The sequence below is a fragment of the Homo sapiens genome, chromosome 2, assembly GCF_000001405.40.
Source record: "Homo sapiens chromosome 2, GRCh38.p14 Primary Assembly".
Lineage (NCBI taxonomy): Eukaryota > Metazoa > Chordata > Mammalia > Primates > Hominidae > Homo > Homo sapiens.
In genome coordinates this window covers 72,361,101-72,382,134 of record NC_000002.12, presented here as the reverse complement: position 1 = coordinate 72,382,134, position 21,034 = coordinate 72,361,101, and the positions used below count along the sequence as shown (strand labels likewise).

General features: G+C 35.8%; 1 protein-coding gene across 11 annotated transcripts in view; it reads left to right on the top strand.

Annotated features, from left to right (window-relative positions):
* Nucleotides 1-21,034, top strand: part of EXOC6B (exocyst complex component 6B) — a 650,050-nt gene that overhangs the window by 443,899 nt on the left and 185,117 nt on the right. For 9 of the 11 annotated variants that reach the window (NR_135773.2, NM_001321734.2, NM_001321733.2 and 6 more), the window contains one exon: nt 2,265-2,406. The exons of 1 other annotated variant lie outside the window; for it this stretch is intronic. Coding sequence is in view for 8 of the 10 variants with exons in the window: in NM_001321734.2 (NP_001308663.1) it covers nt 2,265-2,406 (142 nt within the window). In the remaining 2 variants the exon portion in view is untranslated. Of the gene's footprint in view, nt 1-2,264; nt 4,502-6,028; nt 7,499-21,034 lie in introns of those variants that run through there. One more of the 11 variants, XR_007071495.1, reaches the window with a different exon arrangement.

Genomic DNA, 21,034 nt, shown 5'->3' with positions numbered 1-21,034 from the left:
TTTATGATGTGACTTTTCTCTTTAGAATTTGTTTTTGCCTCTATTGTGTCTGTTCCACTTGATCTCTAAATTACCTCCTTTGTTGTTTTAAATCATGCAGAGTGTGGCCCATCAGAAAATACAAATGAAACCATGGAGATGAGGAAAATTTATAGTCTGTATACTGAAATAGGTCATCATTATTTTTTATGCTACAAATAAGATTTGAGTCAAATAAATACTAATTTAGAAAATATTCAATTGCACACAGTAATCAAAGACATAAAATCCATAAAATATCTTTTGTTTCATTGGTAGAAAAATTAGCAGAAAAACTTATAAAACTGCTGGTGATTATGCAATGAAGTAATACTCTACGAAATATCTGGGGACAATGCAAATCAGAACATACCATAAGCAGAGTCATTTAACTGGATATTTGGGAGTCTAGTTTTCACTTGTGTTTGTCTTCACATATAAGCATATGCATTATGGATCACAGTCTTGATACCCCTCATCCTAGTAGCTTCAAAAAGTAATTCCAAAGAAATTATCCAAAGTACATAAAATTATGTAAATTTTAAAATGTAGTATGATATTATTTATTTATGGTTTTTCTCTTTAAAGCCTGCTAGATTCATTGAAGACCCTGGCCCAGCATAACATATGAAAAAACATATAAAAGGGACACTGTAGTCATGCTCTTGCATTTTCATGATCTCTTACTAGAACTGACTTACTCTGTTTATAATAGCCAAAACAAAAAGAAAGAAAGAAAAAGAAATAACTTAAATCTCCAGCATGAGAAGAATGGCCAAATAAATTGTGGTATACTTCCAAAAAGGAATACTATGGAACAACTAAAGGAATAAACTACAACTAGATACAATACACTTCAAAATCTTCATATTCATAATATTCAACTGAAAAAGGAAGTTGCAGAAGGACCTACATAATATTATAGAAAGTTTCAAAATATGTAAAATAATACAGCATATTGTTTCTGGTTATATACTTGTCATAATAGTACTTTTTAAAAACAAATGGGATACCTAATACCAATAATGGTCATCTGTGGGGACTGGGAGGAACATGATTAAGGAGGTCACACCGGGGCTTAAACTGTATTTGTAATGTTTAGGGGATACGTTAAGTATTTATCTGATGATTCTGTATTTTTCTGTATGGCTGAAATATTTTGTTATTTCAAAAAAGAAGGATGATTCACTAAATAATTTGATCATAGTGTTTTTAAAACATCATCCTGTATTTTGAAACAGATTATAAATAACAGATATAAAATTTATGTAATTCACTAAATGTAGAGTACTTTGAATCTTTTAAAGAAGACACTAAAATATTAATTTTAAAATCCATATTTTCAAAATTGACCTAGAGTTTATATTCATAAATCTCAGTATTTTCTAAGAAAACAAAATGCATCCCCTTAATTATTTTTTTCAGGTAATCTTTTTGTTTTAAATAACCTTCCCCTCCCCTCCCCTTCCCTCTCCTCTTTTTTGAGGCGGAGTCTCTCTCTGTCCCCCAGGCTGGAGTGCAGTGGCACTGCTCACTGCAAGCTCTGCCTCCCGGGTTTATGCCATTCTCCTGCCTCAGCCTTCTGAGTAGCTGGGACTACAGGCGCCTGCCACCACGCCCAGCTAATTTTTTTGCATTTTTAGTAGAGATTGGGTTTCACCGTGTTAGCCAGGATGGTCTCGATCTCCTGACCTTGTGATCTGCCCGCCTCGGCCTCCCAAAGTGCTGGTATTACAGGCGTGAGCCACCGCTCCTGGCCATAATTATTTTCACTTTATATGTGTTAAATCATAAAGCAGTAAACACTGGTTTCTAGATACAGTGGGGATTATTGTTCACATTTTATTTTTAAGAATTTTTTAATTTGGAAGGAAGTTTTTGAAATTTATTCTCTGTGGAATATTGTATTCTGCAATATTGTAGAATATTGTTTCTCACTTTACTTAAAATTTTGAATATTGTTTGATGTCAATTTAGAAAAGAAGTAATTCTTGACTAAATAACTGGGCTTTGTGAATTTTAGCTTAGTGTTACAGCTACCATGACTGATGGTGACGGAGCTATTATATAAGATGATTGCCATCAGATGCTTTAATTCCAAGATTATTTGAATGGAAGGGTATTATGATGAGGAGAACCTTAGGGAAATTCCTAATTGAAAAAGAAGTAATTTTAAGTTTTGTTGAAATTTTATTTTAATTTATGTTAGATGCATTAACTTTATGATTTACACTCTTGTGTTTCAGGGAAAGGTGGCCCAGACAGCGTGTATGTCAGCTTGCAAGCATTTAGCCACATCCTTGATGCAACTTTTGTTGGAAGCTGAAGTGCGGCAGCTCACCTTGGGAGCATTACAGCAGTTCAACTTGGACGTCAGAGAATGTGAACGTAAGACAGTGACCATCCCTGTGCTTGTTTATCTTACCAGCAAACTCATTTCTGTCAGGGGAAAAAAAGTTTTAGGTGTTTAGGGTCCTTGTTCCTAATGCAGTCAAAGAATACCTAGATAACAGAGATAACTTATAGAACATCTAGAAATAGAGTTTATCAGCAAGCTAATTTGAACTCCCAGAAGTGCTTAGACTCATATTTAAAACAGAAGATCTCTAGCTACAAGGAAGTTTGTAATCTATGGGGTGATATAAGGGAGGCGTGCATTTAATAGACACTAAAGAAAACCTGATTGGTCCAAAGGCTTCAAAAGAATGCAGCTTCTAACTACTTTCTTCTAATATTCTATTTAAAAACTAGCTACATCTTATATGCAAACTATTGTTAGTTTAAAGAACAAATGGTATGTGCATTAATTAGTCAGAAATGCTTTCTATTATAAGAAATACAAAACTTAAAGAGTGGCTTAAACAAATAAATTTTATTTTTCTCAAAGGCAGTCAGTTGCTGTATTGGTTTAGTTGCTCAGTGATGTCATTATGGACCCAGGCTCTTTTGTTTCTCCTCCTTTGGTATAATTAGAGTGTGAACTCTTCATTCTCATGTATATTACAGTCAGAAGAGACCCACATTCAAGACAGGAAATGGAACAGCCTTCACCTATTCCTTTTATTAAGAAAATAAGAACCTTTTGAGGAGATCCCTGACAAACTTTCCTGTATGTCTCATTGAATAAAACACTGCCATATGATCACTTCCAGCTCTATGGGAGGCTGGGAGATTGAGTATCTGACAAAGTAAAATAGGAGCATCATTATTGGCATAGTTGACTCATCATAAATCATCTACTCGAAGTTGAATGCAAAATTAGGCTTTGGTTAGGAAAGAATGAAGAGCTGTTGGTGAGAAATGAAAATGAACAAGAAATGATGTGACTCTTGGAATTTTTTTTATTCTAAGAAAATTAAAATAATGGGAAATTACACGAGTCTGCTCACACCCTTGCCCCACATTTTTATTTTACTACTTATTAGTTTCCTTTGGTTGACTTTTGATGTATGGAAATTAAGGTTTTATTGGCAGTGCTATTTTTAATTTAAAAAGGCATTAATAGGACTTCTAGTTACAGCCATCACAGAGTAAAAGGTATCAAAGTTACCCTTTTGCCATAAACAATTGTAAATTGGATAAACTACATGAAGCAACCCTATTCATGCATTAGACAGAAGACATAAAAAGGCTGTGATCCTTCAAAGAAGGGGAAACACATAAGGTAATCTTGCCATTCTCCATTTTTCTGTCTGGGGACACTGTCTAAACAGTAACACAGGAAAGCAGAGCCCAAACAAAAAGCAGTGTTTTTACACAGAAAACACAAAAGCAAAATCCCAGAGACTGGCATATAGGGCTGATGTGACAGCTGGGATTGGTGGAGCAAGGTACCAGAGAGCAAGGAGTTGTTCAAAGAAGTAGTTCTATTAATCAGCACTGGAGAGACCTTGAGTCTTCGGTAAAAACATTTAGTAGCCATGTGCAGAGTGAAACTCTGTGAGGCTTGGCAGAGAACAGCCACTGGAGGTCTGTGAGATGAATAAGGGTGCCAAAGGTCACTGGAAACATACATGGAAACATTGGAATTCTGACCAACCAGAATGGAAGAGTCCAGCTAAACATCTTTTGCATTTAGTAAGACCGCAGAAGATGAGGTCTTAAGAGTGCTACTCAAAGCTCTAGAGGAGGAGCTCCTCTGTTTTTTTTTTCTTAATTGTATATGTTCATCATGTACATTTGTTGTTTTGAAATATGTATACTTCTGGAGTGGCTAAATTGAGCTAGTTAATATATATATTACTTCATATACTTTTTTAGGTGGTTAAAAAAACAAAGTCTCCTTTCTTAGCAATTTTCAAGATTTCAGTACATTGTTATTAACTAAAGTCACAACGTTGTATAATAGATCTCTTGCACGTATTTCTCCTAACTGAAATTTTGTATTATTTGACCAATATGACTCAACTTCTTTGAGTTCATTTGCAGCCACCATTCTGCTGTCTACTTCTATGAGTTCAACTTTTGTAGATTCCATGTATAGGTAAGATTATGCACTATTTGTCTTTCTGTGCCTTTTCTTACTAAACATTAGGTCCTCCAGGTTCATCCATGTTGTCACAAATGACAGGATTTCCATCTTTTTAAAGTCTGAATAATATTCCATATTTTATTGTCTATTTATATTACATTTTCTTTATGCATTCCTCCATTGATATACACTTAGATTGATTCCATATCTTGGCTATTGCGATAATGCTACAATGAACATAGGAGTGCAGATATCTTTTTGACAAACTGATTTCATCTCCTCTGGATATATACTCAGTAGTGGGATTACTGAATCATATGGTAGTTGTATACGTTAAAACTACTTGAGGAATTCCCATACTGTTTCTCTTAATGGCTGTACTAATTTACATTTCCACCAATAATGCACAAGGATTTCCTTTTTTTCACATCCTTTTCAACACTTGTTATTTCTTGTCTTTTTGATAGTAGCTATTCTATTAGGTATGAATTGATGTGTCATTATGGTTTTAATTTGCCTTTCCCTGATAATTAGTGATTCCAAGCATCTTTTCATATTCCTGTTGGCCATATGCATATCTTCTTTTGAGAAATGTCCATTCAGGTCCTTTACCCATTTTTTAATCGAGTTATTTTTCTTGCTGTTTAGTTTGAGTTTTTGACATATTTTGGATATTAACCCCAAGAGCTACTCTTCACCCTAACAATTTCACAAGATAAAGTGACTCTGCCGATAAAAAAAAAAATGCCTTCTAACAAAACTCAATAGCCTTTGAAGGATGAGGAAGAAAAAAACAATTCCACGCTCTCAAGCACATAGCATACACAGTTTTACAGCAAAAAGCTAAAATTTGACATGCAGAGAAGCAAGAAAATGTTACCCATAAAAGAAGAAAAGATAGACAATAGAAATAGATCCACTGATGACACATACGTTGGAAATTGCAGACAGGGGCTTTAAATAATTTAATATAGTCAGTAATTTAAAAGATAAGATGGACCTAATACATAACTGGGTTCAAAGTTTCTCAGGTTTGAGAAAAAGTATTAACACACGAATTTAAATAGCTCAAAAAACTTTATCAAGATAAATACAAAGAAAGCTACACTGAGGCACATTGTTATCAGATTGCTAAATAAACAATAATAAAGAGAAAAATTTTAAAGCAGCCAAAGACGAAAAGGTATAGTACATAATGAAGAACAGTGATAAGAGCTACAGCCAACTTATCAGAAACAGAGCAAACCAGAAGGCAGTAGAATATCTGTAAAGTCCTGAAAGAAAAACAGAACAAAACCTGTCAATGAAAACTCTATGTCTTGTGAAAATATCCTTCAAAAATAAACGGAAAATAAAGACATTTTCAGATAAACAGAAGCTGAGAGAATTTGTCACCAGATTTGCACCACAGAAATGTAAAAGGTAGTTTTTCAGGTTAAATGGAAATGATAGTATATGTCAACCCAGATCTATAATATAGATTACATTGTTCAAAGATGTCTACAACAATATCTTCCTTAACACATTTTTTTTTTCTAGAACCTTGAGACTACTTCATTAAGAAATGGCATCTAATTCGCCTCCCCTTGAATCTGGGCAAGCTTGTGAGTTGATTGTAACCAACAGAATGTGGCAGAAGTGGCCCTTTGTGACTCTGAGGCTAGGCTGTAAAGGATGGTGCTGCTTCCATCTTGGTTGGCTGTTGTGTAAAAAGTCCAGCTACGCTGAGGCTTCCAAGCTTGAAGAAACTTAAGCAAGCTCATGTGGAGAGACCACATGAAGAAGGCTTGAGCCTATGTTAACAGATGCCTAGCTAATTTCTAGCTTTCTCATTTCCACCTTTACTGTTTTTTTCTTCTGCTTACTTTTTGTTTATTTGCTCTTCTTTTGTTAGTTCTTTTGGGTAGAAACTTAGATAATTTATTTGAGATTATCTTCTTTTCTAATATGAGCATTTTAGTATTAGAAATTATTGTCTAAGTACTACTCCAGCCACAGTATACAAATTTTGATATGTCATGTTTTAATTTTTATTCATTTCAGTATTTTCAAATTACTTTTGTGTTTTCTTTTACTTGTGGGTTATTTGGAAATGTGTTGTTTACTTCCCAAATATTTAGAAAATTTTTAGATACATTAATACTTCTGTTTTAGGTTTTTAATTTACTTTCATTTTGATCAGAGAGCATACTTTATATAATTTCAGTTCTTCTAAATTTGTTGAGACTTGTTTTATGACCCAGTATATGGTCTAGTCAAATGTTCCATTTGCACTTAGAAAGAATGTGTTTTCTGCTGTTACTGTGTGGAGTAGCCTATAGACATCACATGGGTAAAGTTGATTGACAGTGTTATTCAAATCTCCTGTATTCCTACTGATTTTTTTATACTTGTTTTATCAATTACTGAGAGGAGTTGAAATCTCCAGTTATATTTATCAATATCAATCCTGTCAGTTTCCATTTTATCAGGTTAATGCATTTTGAAGCTCTGTTATTGGGTGCATACTACTTAGAACTGATATGTCCCTATGATGCACTGATTATTATTATGATGAAATGACCCTCTTTATCCCTAGTAATATGTCTTATTTGAAAAAAAATCTACTTTTTGTGATACTGGTATTGACCCACTCAACTTCCTTATGACCTTGTGTTTGCATAAGTATATTCTTTTCTATCTTTCTCTTTTAATTTTTTAAAAAAATATGAAGTTGTACACAGCTTATAGTCAGGTTTTGCTTTTTTATTCAGTGTGACAATCTTTTATTTTTAATTGGGTTGGTTAGGTGATTTATAATGAATGTAATTTTTTAAATTTTGTAGGTATCTAGTAGGCATATGTATTTATGGAGTACATGAGATATTTTGATTCAGGCATGCAATGTGTAATAATCACATCATGAAAAATGGAATATCTGTCTCCTTAAGCATTTATCATTTGTGTTACAATCTAATCATACTCTTAGTTATTTTAAAATGTACCATTAAATTATTTTGACTATTGCCACCCTGTTGTGCTAATACTAGGTCTTATTCATTTTTCTAACTATTTTGTACTCATTAACCATCCCCACCTTCCCTCTCAACACTGTGCTTCCCAGCCTCTGATAACCATCCTTCTACTCTCTAGCTTCATGAGTTTAATTGTTTTGATTTTTAGATCCTACATATAAGTGAGAACATGCAATGTTTGTCTTTCTGTGCCTGGTTTAACACTTATCATAATTGCCTCCAGCTCATTAAAATAACAGGATCACTGTTACAAATGACAGGATTTCATTCTTTTTTTGTGGCTGAATAGTACTCCATTGTGTGTAAGTACCACAGTTTCTCTCTCCATATATCTGTTGATGGACAATTAGGTTGCTTCCAAATCTTGGCTATCGTGAATGGTGCTGCAACAAATATGAGAGTGCAGATATAAAATCTCTTTGATGTACTGATTTTCTTTCATTTGAATAAATACCTAGCAGTGGGATTGCTGGATCTGGATCTTATGATATCTCTATTTTTACTTTTTTCAGGAACTTCCAAATTATTCTCCATAGTGGATTTAAAAAAAAATTTTTTTTTTGAGACAGGGTCTCACTCTGGAGGCGCAGGCTATACAGTGGCATGACTTGGCTTACTGCAATGTTTGCCTCCCAGGCTTAACTACCATGCCTGGCTAATTTTTGTATTTTTTAGCAGAGATGGAGTTTCACCATGTTGCCCAGGTTGGTCTCGAACTCCAGACCCGTGATCCACCCACCTCGGCCTTCCAAAGTATTGGGATTATAGGCGTGAGCCACCACACCGTCTCCATAGTGGTTATACTAATTCACATTCACAACAACAGTATATGAAGGTTTCCTTTTCTCCACATCCTTTCCAGCATTTGTTATTGCCTGTGTTTTGGATAAAAGACATTTTAACTAGAGTTAAGTGCTATGTCATTGTAGTTTTGATTTACATTTCTCTAATGATCGATTATGTTGAGCACCTTTTCATATACCTGTTTGCCATTTGTATGTGTTCTTTTGAGTAATAGTTATTCAATTCTTTTGCTCATTTTTAAATTGGATTATTAGTTTTTTCCTATAAAGTATTTTGTCTCCTTATATATTTGGGTTATTAATTCCCAGATGGATAGTATGCAAATATTTTCTACTACTCTGTGGGTTGTCTCTTCACTTTGTTGATTATTTCCTTTGCTGTGCATAAACTTTTTAACTTGTTGTGATCCTATTTGTCCATTTTTGTTTTGGTTGCCTGTGCTTATGCGGTATTAATTAAGAAATGTCTGCCCAGGCCAGGCACGGTGGCTCATGCCTATAATCCTAGCACTTTGGGAGGCTGAGGTGGGTGGATCACTTGAGGTCAGGAGTTCCAGACCAGTCAGGCCAATATGGTGAAACCCCTTCTCTACTAAAAACACAAAAATTAGCTGGCCATGTAATCCCAGCTACTCGAGAGGCTGAGGCAGGAGAATTGCTTGAACCCGGGAGGTGGAGGTTGCAGTGAGCTGAGACTGCGTGCGCCATTGCACTCCAGCCTGGGCATTGCAGCGAGACTCCATCTCAAAAAAAAAAAAAAAAAAGTCTTCCGAGACTGATATCCTGAAGAGTTTCCTCAATGTTTTCTTGTAGTCCTTTCATAGTTTGAAGTCTTAGATTTTAAAGTCTTTAATTCATTTTGATTTGCTTTTTGTATATGGCAAGAGATAGGGGTCTAGTTTCATTATTTTGCATATGGATTTCTAGTTTTCCCACCATAATTTATTGAAGAGACTGTCTTTTTCCCAGTGTGTGTTCCTTTTTTGAGACAGAGTCTTGCTCTGTCACCCAGGCTGGAGTGCAATGGTGCAGTCTTGGCTCACTGCAATTCTGCCTCCCAGGTTCAAGCAATTCTCCTGCCTCAGCCTCCAGATTAGCTGGGACTACAGGTGTGTGCCACCATACCCGCCTATCTTTTTGTATTTTTAGTAGAGACAGCGTTTCACCATGTTAGCCAGGATGGTCTCGATCTCCTGACCTCATGATCCTCCCACCTCGGCCTCCCAAAGTGCTGGGATTACAGGTGTGAGCCACCACGCCCAGTCAGTGTGTGTTCTTGACACCTTTCTCTAAAAGGAATTTACTATAGGTATGTGAATTCTTTTCTGGGTTCTCTATTCTGTTCCATTGGTCTGTGTGTCGGATTTAATGCCAGTACCATGCTGTTGTTATTACTATAGCTCTGTAGTATGATTTGAAGTTAGGTAATATGATTTCTCCAGTTCTGTTCTTTTTGCTCAGGATAGCTTTGGCCATTCTAGGTCTTTTGTGTTTCCATATAAATTTTCTGATTGTTTTTTCTATTTCTGTAAAAATGTCATTGGTACTTTGATGGGAATTGCATTGAACCTATAGATTGCTTTGGGTAATATGGGCATTTTAACAATATTGTGTCTTCCAATCCATGACCATGCAATGTCTTTGCATTTTTTTGTGTGTGTCTTCTTTAATTTCTTTCATCAGTATTTTATAGTTTGTAAGATCCTTTACTTCTTTGGCTAAGTAAATTCCTAGGTATTTACTTTTATTTGTGGCTATTATAAAGGGGATTACTTTTTGATTTCTTCTTCAGATTGTTCACTGTTGGCATATAGAAATGCCACTGATTTTTGTGTGCTGATTCTGTATTCTGCAACTTTACTGAATTTATCAATTCTTATCATTTTTTTGGTGGAGGCTTTAGGTTTTTCTAAATATAATATCATCTGCAAACAATGATAATTTGACCTCTTCCTTTTCGAGTTGGATGACCCTTTTTTCTTTTTCTTGTTTAATTGCTCTATAGGACTTTCAGTACTATGTTGAAAAACAATGCTGAAAGTAGGCATCCTAGTTGTGTTTCACTTCTTAGAGAAAAAGCTTTTGGTTTTTCTCCATTCAGTATGATACTAGCTATGGATCTGTCATACATGCCTTTTATTTTGTTGAGGTAATGTTAATACCCAGATTTTTTAGGATTTTTACCATGAAGGGATGTTGAATTTTATCAGATGCTTTTCAGCATCAGTTGGAATGATCATATGGTTCTTGTCCTCCATTCTCTTCATATGTTGTATCACATTGATTGACTTGTGTATGTTGAACCATCCTTGCATCCCGGGGATAAATCCCACTTGGTCATGATGAATGACATTTTTAATGTATTGTTGAATTCAGTTTGCTAGTATTTTGTTGAGAATTTTTATGTCAATATTCATCAGAGATGTTGGCATGTAGTTTTCTTTTTCGATGTGTCTTTGATTTTAGTATCAGGGTAATACTGATCTTGTAGAATGAGTTTGGAAGTATTCCTTCCTCAATTTTTCAGAACAGTTTGAGTAGGATTAGTATTAGTTCTTCTTTAGATGTTTGATAGAACTCGCAGTGAACTGGGTCCTGGGCTTCTCTTTACTGGGAGACTTTTTATTATGGTTTCAATCTTGTTACTTGTTATTGATTTGTGTTCTAGGGCCTGAAATGGGGACCTCATGACTCTGCCTGGTGCCCTATCCTACTGTGGCTGAACTGGTATCCAAGACACATGACAGAGTCCTCTTTATTCTGTTCTTCTTTTTTTTTTGGAGGAGGAGTTTTGTGTCCTCTAATTCATCTTTTATATATATATATTTTTATTATACTTTAAGTTCTAGGGTACATGTGCACAATGTGCAGGTTTGTTACATATATATACATGTGCCATGTTGGTGTGCTGCACCCATTAACTTGTCATTTACATTAGGCATATCCCTCCCCCCTCCCATCACCCCACAACAGGCCCCAGTGTGTGATGTTCCCCTTCTTGTGTCCAAGTGTTCTCACTGTTCAATTCCCACCTATGAGTGAGAACATGCGGTGTTTGGTTTTTTGTCCTTGTGATAATTTGCTGAGAATGATGGTTTCCAGCTTCATCCATGTCCCTACAAAGGACATGAACTCATCATATTTTATGGCTGAATAGTATTCCATGGTGTATATGTGCCAACTTTTCTTGATCCAGCCTATCATTGTCGGACATTTGGGTTGATTCCAAGTCTTTGCCATTGTGAGTAGTGCCGCAATAAACATACATGTGCATGTGTCTTTATAGCAGCATGATTTATATTCCTTTGGGTATATACCCAGCAATGGGATGGCTGGGTCAAATGGTATTTCTAGTTTTAGATCCCTGAGGAATCACCACACTGTCTTCCACAATGGTTGAACCGGTTTACAGTCCCACCAACAGTGTAAAAGTGTTCCTATTTCTCCACATCCTCTCCAGCACCTGTTGTTTCCTGACTTTTTAATGATCGCCATTCTAACTGGTGTGAGATGGTATCTCATTGTGGTTTTGATTTGTATTTCTCTGATGGCTAGTGATGATGAGCATTTTTTCATGTGTCTTTTGGCTGCATCAATGTCTTCTTTTGAGAAGTGTCTGTTCATATCCTTCGCCCACTTTTTGAAGGGGTTGTTTGTTTTTTTCTTGTAAATTTGTTTGAGTTCTTTGTGGATTCTGGATATTAGCCCTTTGTCAGATGAGTAGATTACAAAAATTGTTTCCCATTCTGTAGGTTGCCTGTTCACTCTGATGTTAGTTCCTTTTGCTGTGCAGAAGCTCTTTAGTTTAATGAGATCCCATTTGTCAGTTTTGGCTTTTGTTGCCATCGCTTTTGGTGTTTCAGACATGAAGTCCTTGCCCATGCCTATGTCCTGAATGGTATTGCCTAGGTTTTCTTCTAGGGTTTTTATGGTTTTAGGTCTAACATTTAAGTCTTTAATCTATTTGAATTAATTTTTGTATAAGGTGTAAGGAAGGGATCCAGTTTCAGCTTTCTACATACGGCTAGCCAGTTTTCCCAGCACCATTTGTTAAATAGGGAATCCTTTCCCCATTTCTTGCTTTTGTCAGGTTTGTCAAAGATCAGATAGTTGTAGATGTGTAGTATTATTTCTGAGGGCTCTGTTCTGTTCCATTGGTCTATATCTCTGTTTTGGTACCAGTACCATGCTGTTTTGGTTACTATAGCCTTGTAGTATGGTTTGAAGTCAGGTAGCATGATGCCTCCAACTTTGTTCTTTTGGCTTAGGAGTGACTTGGCAATGCGGGCTCTTTTTTGCTTCCATATGAACTTTGAAGTAGTTTTTTCCAATTCTGTGAAGCAAGTCATTGGTAGCTTGATGGGGATGGCATTGAATCTATAAATTACCTTGGGCAGTATGGCCATTTTCACGATATTGATTCTTCCTACCCATGAGCACGAAATGTTCTTCCATTTCTTTGTATCCTCTTTTATTTCGTTGAGCAGTGGTTTGTAGTTCTCCTTGAAGAGGTCCTTCACATCCCTTGTAAGTTGGATTCCTAGGTATTTTATTCTGTTTGAAGCAATTGTGAATGGGAGTTCACTCATGATTTGGCTCTCTGTCTGTTATTGGTATATAAGAATGCTTGTGATTTTTGCACATTGATTTTGTATCCTGAGACTTTGCTGAAGTTGCTTATCAGCTTGAGGAGATTTTGGGCTGAGACAGTGGGGTTTTCTAGATATACAATCATGTCATCTGCAAACAGAGACAATTTGACTACCTCTTTTCCTAATTGAATACCCTTTAATTCATTCTCCTGCCTAACTGCCCTGGCCAGAACTTCCAACACTGTGTTGAATAGGAGTGGTGAAAGTGGGCATCCCTGTCTTGTGCCAGTTTTCAAAGGGAATGCTTCCAGTTTTTGCCCATTCAGTATGATATTGGCTGTGGGTTTGTCATAGATAGCTCTTATTATTTTGAGATATGTCCCATCAATGCCTAATTTATTGAGAGTTTTTAGCATGAAGGGCTGTTGAATTTTTTCAAAGGCCTTTTCTGCATCTATTGAGATAATCATGTGGTTTTTGTCATTGGTTCTGTTTATATGCTGGATTATGTTTATTGATTTGCATTTGTTGGACCAGCCTTGCATCCCAGGGATGAAGCCCACTTGATTGTGGTAGATAAGCTTTTTGATGTGCTGCTGGATTTGGTTTGCCAGTATTTTATTGAGGATTTTTGCATCGATGTTCATCAGGGATATTGGTCTAAAATTCTCTTTTTTTGTTGTGTCTCTGCCAGGCTTTAGTATCAGGATGATGCTGGCCTCATAAAATGAGTTAGGGAGGATTCCCTCTTTTTCTATTGATTGGAATAGTTTCAGAAGGAATGGTACCAGCTCCTCCTTGTACCTCTGGTAGAATTTGGCTGTGAATCCCTCTGGTCCTGGACTTTTTTTGGCTGGTAAGCTATTAATTATTGCCTCAATTTCAGAGCCTGTTATTGGTCTATTCAGAGATTCAACTTCTTCCTGGTTTAGTCTTGGGAGTGTGTATGTGTCGAGGAATTTATCCATTTCTTCTAGATTTTCTAGTTTATCTGCGTAGAGGTGTTTATAGTATTCTCTGATGGTAGTTTGTATTTCTGTGGGATCAGTGGTGATATCCCCTGTATCATTATTCTGTTCTTCTTAAGCAGAAGGAAGGACTCATTTTCTAGCTATGAGCTGCACTGCCTGGGATTGGCAGAGAGGTGGTGCAAGCATTCCCTTAGCTGCCCTGGCTGGGTTACTGTCCAAGTCACATACCACCCTAATCCTCTGGCTCTGAGCCCAGCCCAACACTAAGAGTTGCCTAAGAGTTCCATTCCTTGTGTTCTAGACTGTCTTTCAAGTTTACTCAAGACCGCAGAGCATGTTGGCCTGTGGCAATGAGGCTTGCTGAGAGCTCAAGTTCTGACCTCTAGAATGGATGATTCTCCTTTGGCTAGGGCTGGTCCAAATGTTCCCTCCATGTGTGGGTTCTGAGTGAGCCCAGCCAGCACAATTTTTTCTCCACTATGACAGGGCAGCACTGAGTTCAATGTAAAGTCCCCCAGTTGCTGCACTCTCCCTCTCCCAAGTGCACAAACTCTCCAGGCCGTTCAACCACTGCCAGGGGATGGGGGAGGGGTGGCGTCAGCAATACAAGATTGTCTTTCTGCCCATCTTCAATGTCTCTTTTAGCGATATGATGTAAAAATCTAGGTAGCGTGATTGCTCACCTGATTTTTGGTTCTTGTGCCAGTGGTTTTCTGTCTGCAGATAGTTGTTAAAATTTGGTGTTCCTGCAGGGGTGGGGTTGGGGAGGGAGGAATCAGACAAATGATGTAATCATATATTCTACCATCTTATTCCACCTCCTGAATGTAATTTTCAGTATGATTGGGCTTAAATCTACCATCTTGCTATTCATTTTATATTTCCTTTTTCATACTTTGTTCATTTTTCTTCTTTCATTGCTTTTTTTTAGATTAATCAGTGTTTTTTTATGTGATCTATAGTTTATTAGCTCAGACTCTGTTGTATATTTTAGTTATTGTTCCTGGATTTACAATATACATCTTTAACACAGAATACCTTAAAATAATATTATGCCATTTTGCATTAATGTAAGAATCTTACAAAAGTATTGTTTTTCTTCTATGTTTTGTCCTTTGTTTGTGCTATTGTTGTTATACATATTACTTCTACATAGTCTATAAACCCCACAATACATTATTACTGCATCTTTGCTTTAAACACTCATTTATTTTATAAAATGTCTAGAAATGATTCATATATATTTCATAATTACCCATGTGTTTACTGTATTCTGCATTCTTCATGTCTTTGTGCAGATTCAGATTTCTATCTGATATCATTTTTATTCTACTGAGGAGCTTCCTTCAATGTACACTATAGCGCAATTCCACTTATATTAAATTCTCTAAACTTTTTTTTTTTCTGGTAAAATCTTCAGAAAGATGTTTTCACTGTATAATGAATTCTAGGTTAATAGGGTTTTTTTTTTCTTTCAACACTTTAAAGAGTTCCAACTATTTTCTTTTGATTGATATAGTTTCTGATGATAAGCTTTTTGTTATCTTTGTTCCTTTGTACAAATTATGTCTCATTTTCTCTACTTTTTTGAGATTTTCTTCACTAGTTCTCAGCAATTTCATTAGGCTGTGTCTTTTCTGTGGGATTCTTTATGTTAATTCTGCTTAGAATTCATTGAGTTTGGACATGCAAGTTTATACCTTTTATTAAATTTGAGAAGGCTTTGGCTATTATTTCTTTGAATATCTTTTCTATCTCTCCTTTGTGTCTGAAACTTCCTTTACATATATTTTAGACCACTTCACATTGTCCTGTGGTTACCGATACTCTGTTTATTTTCTTTTCAATCTTCTTTTCTTCTTTATGCACTTCATTTTGGATGCTTTCTATTGATGTCTTTGAGTTCTTTGAACTTTGCTTTTGCAGTATCTAATCTGCTGTTTATCTATTTCAATGTATTTGTCATTTGAGGTGTTTTTTTTTTTACTTTTATATGAACTCCATTTTGTTCTTTTTGATATCTTCCATTGCTTTCTTCATAATATTCCTGTTCCTCTACCTTGTTAACATATGGAACATTCTTATAATAGCTATGTAACAGTCCTGTTCTACCAGTTCCATCATGCGTATATTTTCCAGGTTATTGATATTGTTCACCTGATTATAGGTCATATTGTCCTGTTTCTTTGCATCCTGGTCATTGTTTACTGGATTCGTGAAATTTTACATTTCATATTGTTGGATGCTGTGTTGTATTCCTTTAAATAATATTATATTTTGTTTGCACATGGATTTTAGTTATTTGCAATTGGATTCATTCAAGACTTGCTCTTAAGTATCTAGTGGGTCCATAGCAGCTTTTTGTCTAGGTCTAATTTGTCACCAGTTCTAAAGCAGTACCCTTGGGAGAATTCTGCATGATGCTTTGGATAGCTTGGAGGTCTTTAAACTCTGGCTGGTGGAAACACAAAGTATGGTCATCCCTGTAAGACTTTCACAGATTCTTTTCCTTTTCATTTCTAATGGTTCTTTCTCCAGCCTTTGGTAATTGCCTCCCCTACAAACACAAATTAGTACTCCACCAAATACCGAAAGGACCTTTCTGTAGTTTTCCTGGATGCTCTCTTTTGTAGCATCCTCCTTTCTGATACTCAGTCCTGTAAATACTTGTTGCCTTGAACTCCTGGGCTCTAGTCTCTGACTTTTCAACTCAGTAAGACAACCATGTTCTGTTTCAGTTCTCTCCCTTTGCCTGCTTTATAGCACATCCTGGAAGCTGCCTCTAGGCTAGCTTGCCTCGCTTGCTCTCCTGCTCTCAGTATCATTATGTCTGTGGGATCATAATTCTGCATTACCTCTTGTCCAGTATCTAAAACCGTTCTTTCAGACTCCTTGTACAGTTTTCCAGGTTTCCAGGATTTTTTTTTCACACTGGAAAGATTAGTGCTGTGCCTATTAGTTTATCATAACCAGTAGCAGAATCAAGTGAATACTTTTCAAGATTTTTAGGGGTTTTTTTTAATGAAAGTAATATCTATTCATTGTGGAAAATGGTGGGGAAAAAAGAAAAGTACAGGAAGAAAATAAAAACTACTCTAATCTTACCATTCATAAATAAGCACACTCCCATGCCTTTCACCTAGACATGATAATATATAACAGCAACAGAACTGTTTCTATAAGTTGCCCGCCACATTCCTTGCCTCTAATTAGCCAAAGTTGTTTCACATTCCTCTGTCTTAACCAATTATTTAGTAGGAGATTGAAAACATAATGATTGGCTAAACCAGTCAAAATTGATTCTTGAGATGAGAATGAAGTCATCCTTCTCTGAATTTTGAGGAAAAAATAGAAGCTCATTCTCTTATAAAGAAAAGGAAGGAAAGGGCTTTGGTGTAGGCAATCAACCAATACCACTGGTTAAATAACAAAGTCTGGTGAACTTTTGCGAATGATCAACTACAAGATTGGATTTTTGACAGAGATAAGAGATAAACAGGGATGAAGGATGATAAAGCTGAAATACATGCACATTCTGGAGGAGTGATGATGGACTGGGAGAAACACTGAAGAGTAAGAATAATACCCATCTTATGGCCTGATTTTGAATGAGCAGCTTCTTCTTGAGAGAACCGTAGGAGAATCTACATCCTTAATGCAGAGCCAGCTTTCAGTTAAGACTAAAAGAGCATTTAATGAAAAGGTGGAAACACAACAGAGTTTGTTAACCATGTAAAAGGGGTTCCAGAGAGCCAATATCTTATCTGAAAAGCCATTTGGTATTTGTAATAACCTTTCAGACTTAGAATCAGATTGAAGCCAACATTTGAAGGGCTTGACAGTCCACGAATAACCATAATATCAGCAGTGAAATTTTTTTTCCTCATATATTTTAGAGCCACTAAGGTTCATTGATTTAGAATTTAATGTTTCATTCCTGATTGGCAGTAATTTGTCTGTCAAAAACTTTCCATGGACATTTATTTTACTTTAAAAGAAAGAACTCTATTCTATGTCTTTCCCTATACCACCCCCCTCATTTTTTTTTCTTTAGATGCTCAGTGGTCTATAAAAAAATCTTAAAGAAATGATACATAAAATTCAAGTAACTATACAGAGGCGTATAAAAGCAGTCCCAAATGACAAGATAATTAACACTTACATCTTTCTACCCAGTGGTGTGTGCATGAGGTATTTTCCCTTTTTGTCTGTGAGTCCTTGGAAGAACTGTATAGGTCCTAAAAGAAATCAAACTCTGGACAAGATGAAATGTGAATATACCTTGAGTGTTTTTGAATATGAGGTCAGGTCTTCCATTTTCTTAGGTCCCAAATGCATAGAGGTATTATATGCACTACCAAGAGCCTGAGATATTCAGCTAGGATAGTGTAGTCATTAAGAATATAGATTTTAGAGTCAGTTCAACAGAATGGATTCAGGTTCCCACTTACTTTTAGTGTTACCATATGTAAATTATTTAACCCCTTACAACTCCATTTATGAAGTAGGAATAATAATAGTACTGAACAATATAAAGATGAGAGGGTTTGGATCAAATGAGATAATACATGAAAGGCTGTATTTCATTGTGTGGTAAAGCACTAAGTATGCACTAATTATTAGCTGCTCCTATTTTTGTCATCATCATCATCATCATCATCATCATCAGTAGCAGCAGTTAGCAAATCTGCTAATTCATATTAAGCATATCCAGCATATCTCAGGTCTTTTGCAGAGTACTTGAAACTTTGTCACAGATTGTGAATTTATTAGGTTTAATTTGGTATAATAAATTGACTTTGCTTCTTGATAGTTGTCTGTGAAACTTCTATGGCTGTCCTGAAAAGTATGATCCAGAACTGATGATTTTCTAATTCTCGGCTTGATTATTTTACAAGCAATCAGTCAGTTCAGCTGTTTTCTACAGATGGTAACTACTGCTTAGGGTGCCATTATATAACAGGAGTATTATTGTTAGGTAATTCTTGCTGACAGGCTACCAAACCCAATAACTCTAAGATGGAAGTCACTTGAAATTTACTAGGTGTGATGAAATCATCACTTTTCCTTTAAAAATTGATAATGACCTCTGTGTTTTTCTGCTTTGTGTGGATTTCATCTTAGATCTCAGTATGTTTATATGTTTTATATTTGGTTTTAAACATTAGAGCACTGGATCCTGGCAGAGAAACTGAGATTTAAACACCAGCAGGTGTTGATTGCCTAATAACTTCTAGATCTAACTTAGGCTATTGTATCCCTCATGCACTAGGAATATTCAGTCTGTGTCTGGGTTTGGAATTTCCTAAGCTTTCTCTTTGCATATTCAAAATGAGGAAGTCTAGATTCATATTCCAGCTCAACCACTTGTTACCAGCATTAATTCAGTAATCTGCTCATTCAGTCAGCAGATATATGTGGGCCCTACTCTATGCAAAATACCATGGTTGGAGGCTGGAGTTAAGATGAGAAATCATGGATTTTAAATAGGAGGGTGACTGTATTAGATTTGTATTTTTGGAAGGAACTTGCATTTTGCAGGAGCCTCAGAGACTAGTTAGAAGGCTATTGCAGTAATCTATGGTAGAGTTGATTTGGTAGCCTCAGCATATATTTGTATGATAATTCAAGCCACGAGGGTGAATGAATCAATTCATTTAACCTCTCTGAGCCCATCAATAAACTAGAAATACTAATTCCTGCTATATTTGTCTCACATTATTGTTATAAAGTCAAATGAGATAATATATATAAAATCATTTGAAACAGCCATGGAAATGTTATTTATTATAATTAATTATAATTATTTCTTTATGTATATGCCTTTATGTGTTTTCTTTCATATTTCTACTGATTTATGGTCTACAATGTTAAACATTTTCAGTTTTCAGTTATCTGCATAGTTCCCTAAATTATTCAAAAGATTGGTACATTAAAAATATAATTAAACCAAATCCAGGACACATTTCTTTGCAAGGAAATGTAGCAACAATTGCATCTTTTTAAATGTAATGTAATCCATCATTTCCCAGGATCCATGAATCTTTTTCACAGTATGAACTGGATCCATGAAAAGGAGGGATAGAATGCATCTTATCAGATTCTCTCAGATCTTGATGGTCAATTAAATATGCTTTGGTTTAATTCTTTTGAAAGGGAACACGGGCTTCTAAAGCCTTCCATATCACCATTCTTACCATAATAACCCTCACTCTACAGGTAAGGAAACCAATGTAGAGATTTTGCCTAAACACAGGATTTAGGGAAACAACTTCAGAGTAAATTCTTGGTCTCACTGAGTCTATTGTGATATATACTAGTGGCAGAACAGCATTTACTACTTAACCTCCTCACTCTGACTGAAAGATCACATCATCCCTGGAGAATTTATTTTGTCTCAAAGTCAGTATCCGAATAGTTCCTGAAAAGTTTGAAAGTTTCCATCTCTTTGTATATATTCACAAAAATAAATGGCTACAGGTTTGTGATATAGCTGACTCTCCTCTGACTCAGGTGTGAGATGTTTTAGTGAATATTAACTAGGCAGTCCTTAATAGGCTTGCTTGTGGTTTTGTCACTGGGACATCAGAACTAAAGAATCTTTATAAAGAGATCTCACTGAACCCTAGGTACCAGGCATCAACAACTACCAATTGGCATAACTCTGCCTACTTAATTTTGTTTTCTCCACTACTTGAGCCCAGCTATTCTTGCCTCTCCAGTTCCGTATAATTAATTATCCACCTTTGGTCCGAGATTCCCTCACAGGGCTTCAGGCATTCCATTACAGATCTTTTCCTAATGTGAGGAAAAGGGAATAGTGGAGAGTCCTGAGGACCCTGGTGAGAAACATAGGGCAAGCATATATGACAGATCCACACTAGCATTTTTCTTCTGCAGCCTTTCAAGTTTATATTATGCAAAGGGACCTTTACATCAGCAAACTGTGAAAGTAACTACTAGTTACTACATTAAATCAAGCTTCTCCAGTGAGATGTCCTAGAGTAATTAAGTTGTCAATCAAAATTATGTTTAGTCATCCTTGAAGAAGTAGTGCAAAATGCATAACCACGCAGTTTTCCCTGTTTTTGCTGAATTTACCTAGAAAACTCTTACATTTCCTTCTGGATGTAATTCCTTTCTTCTCTACTCTTACTTTTCTTTT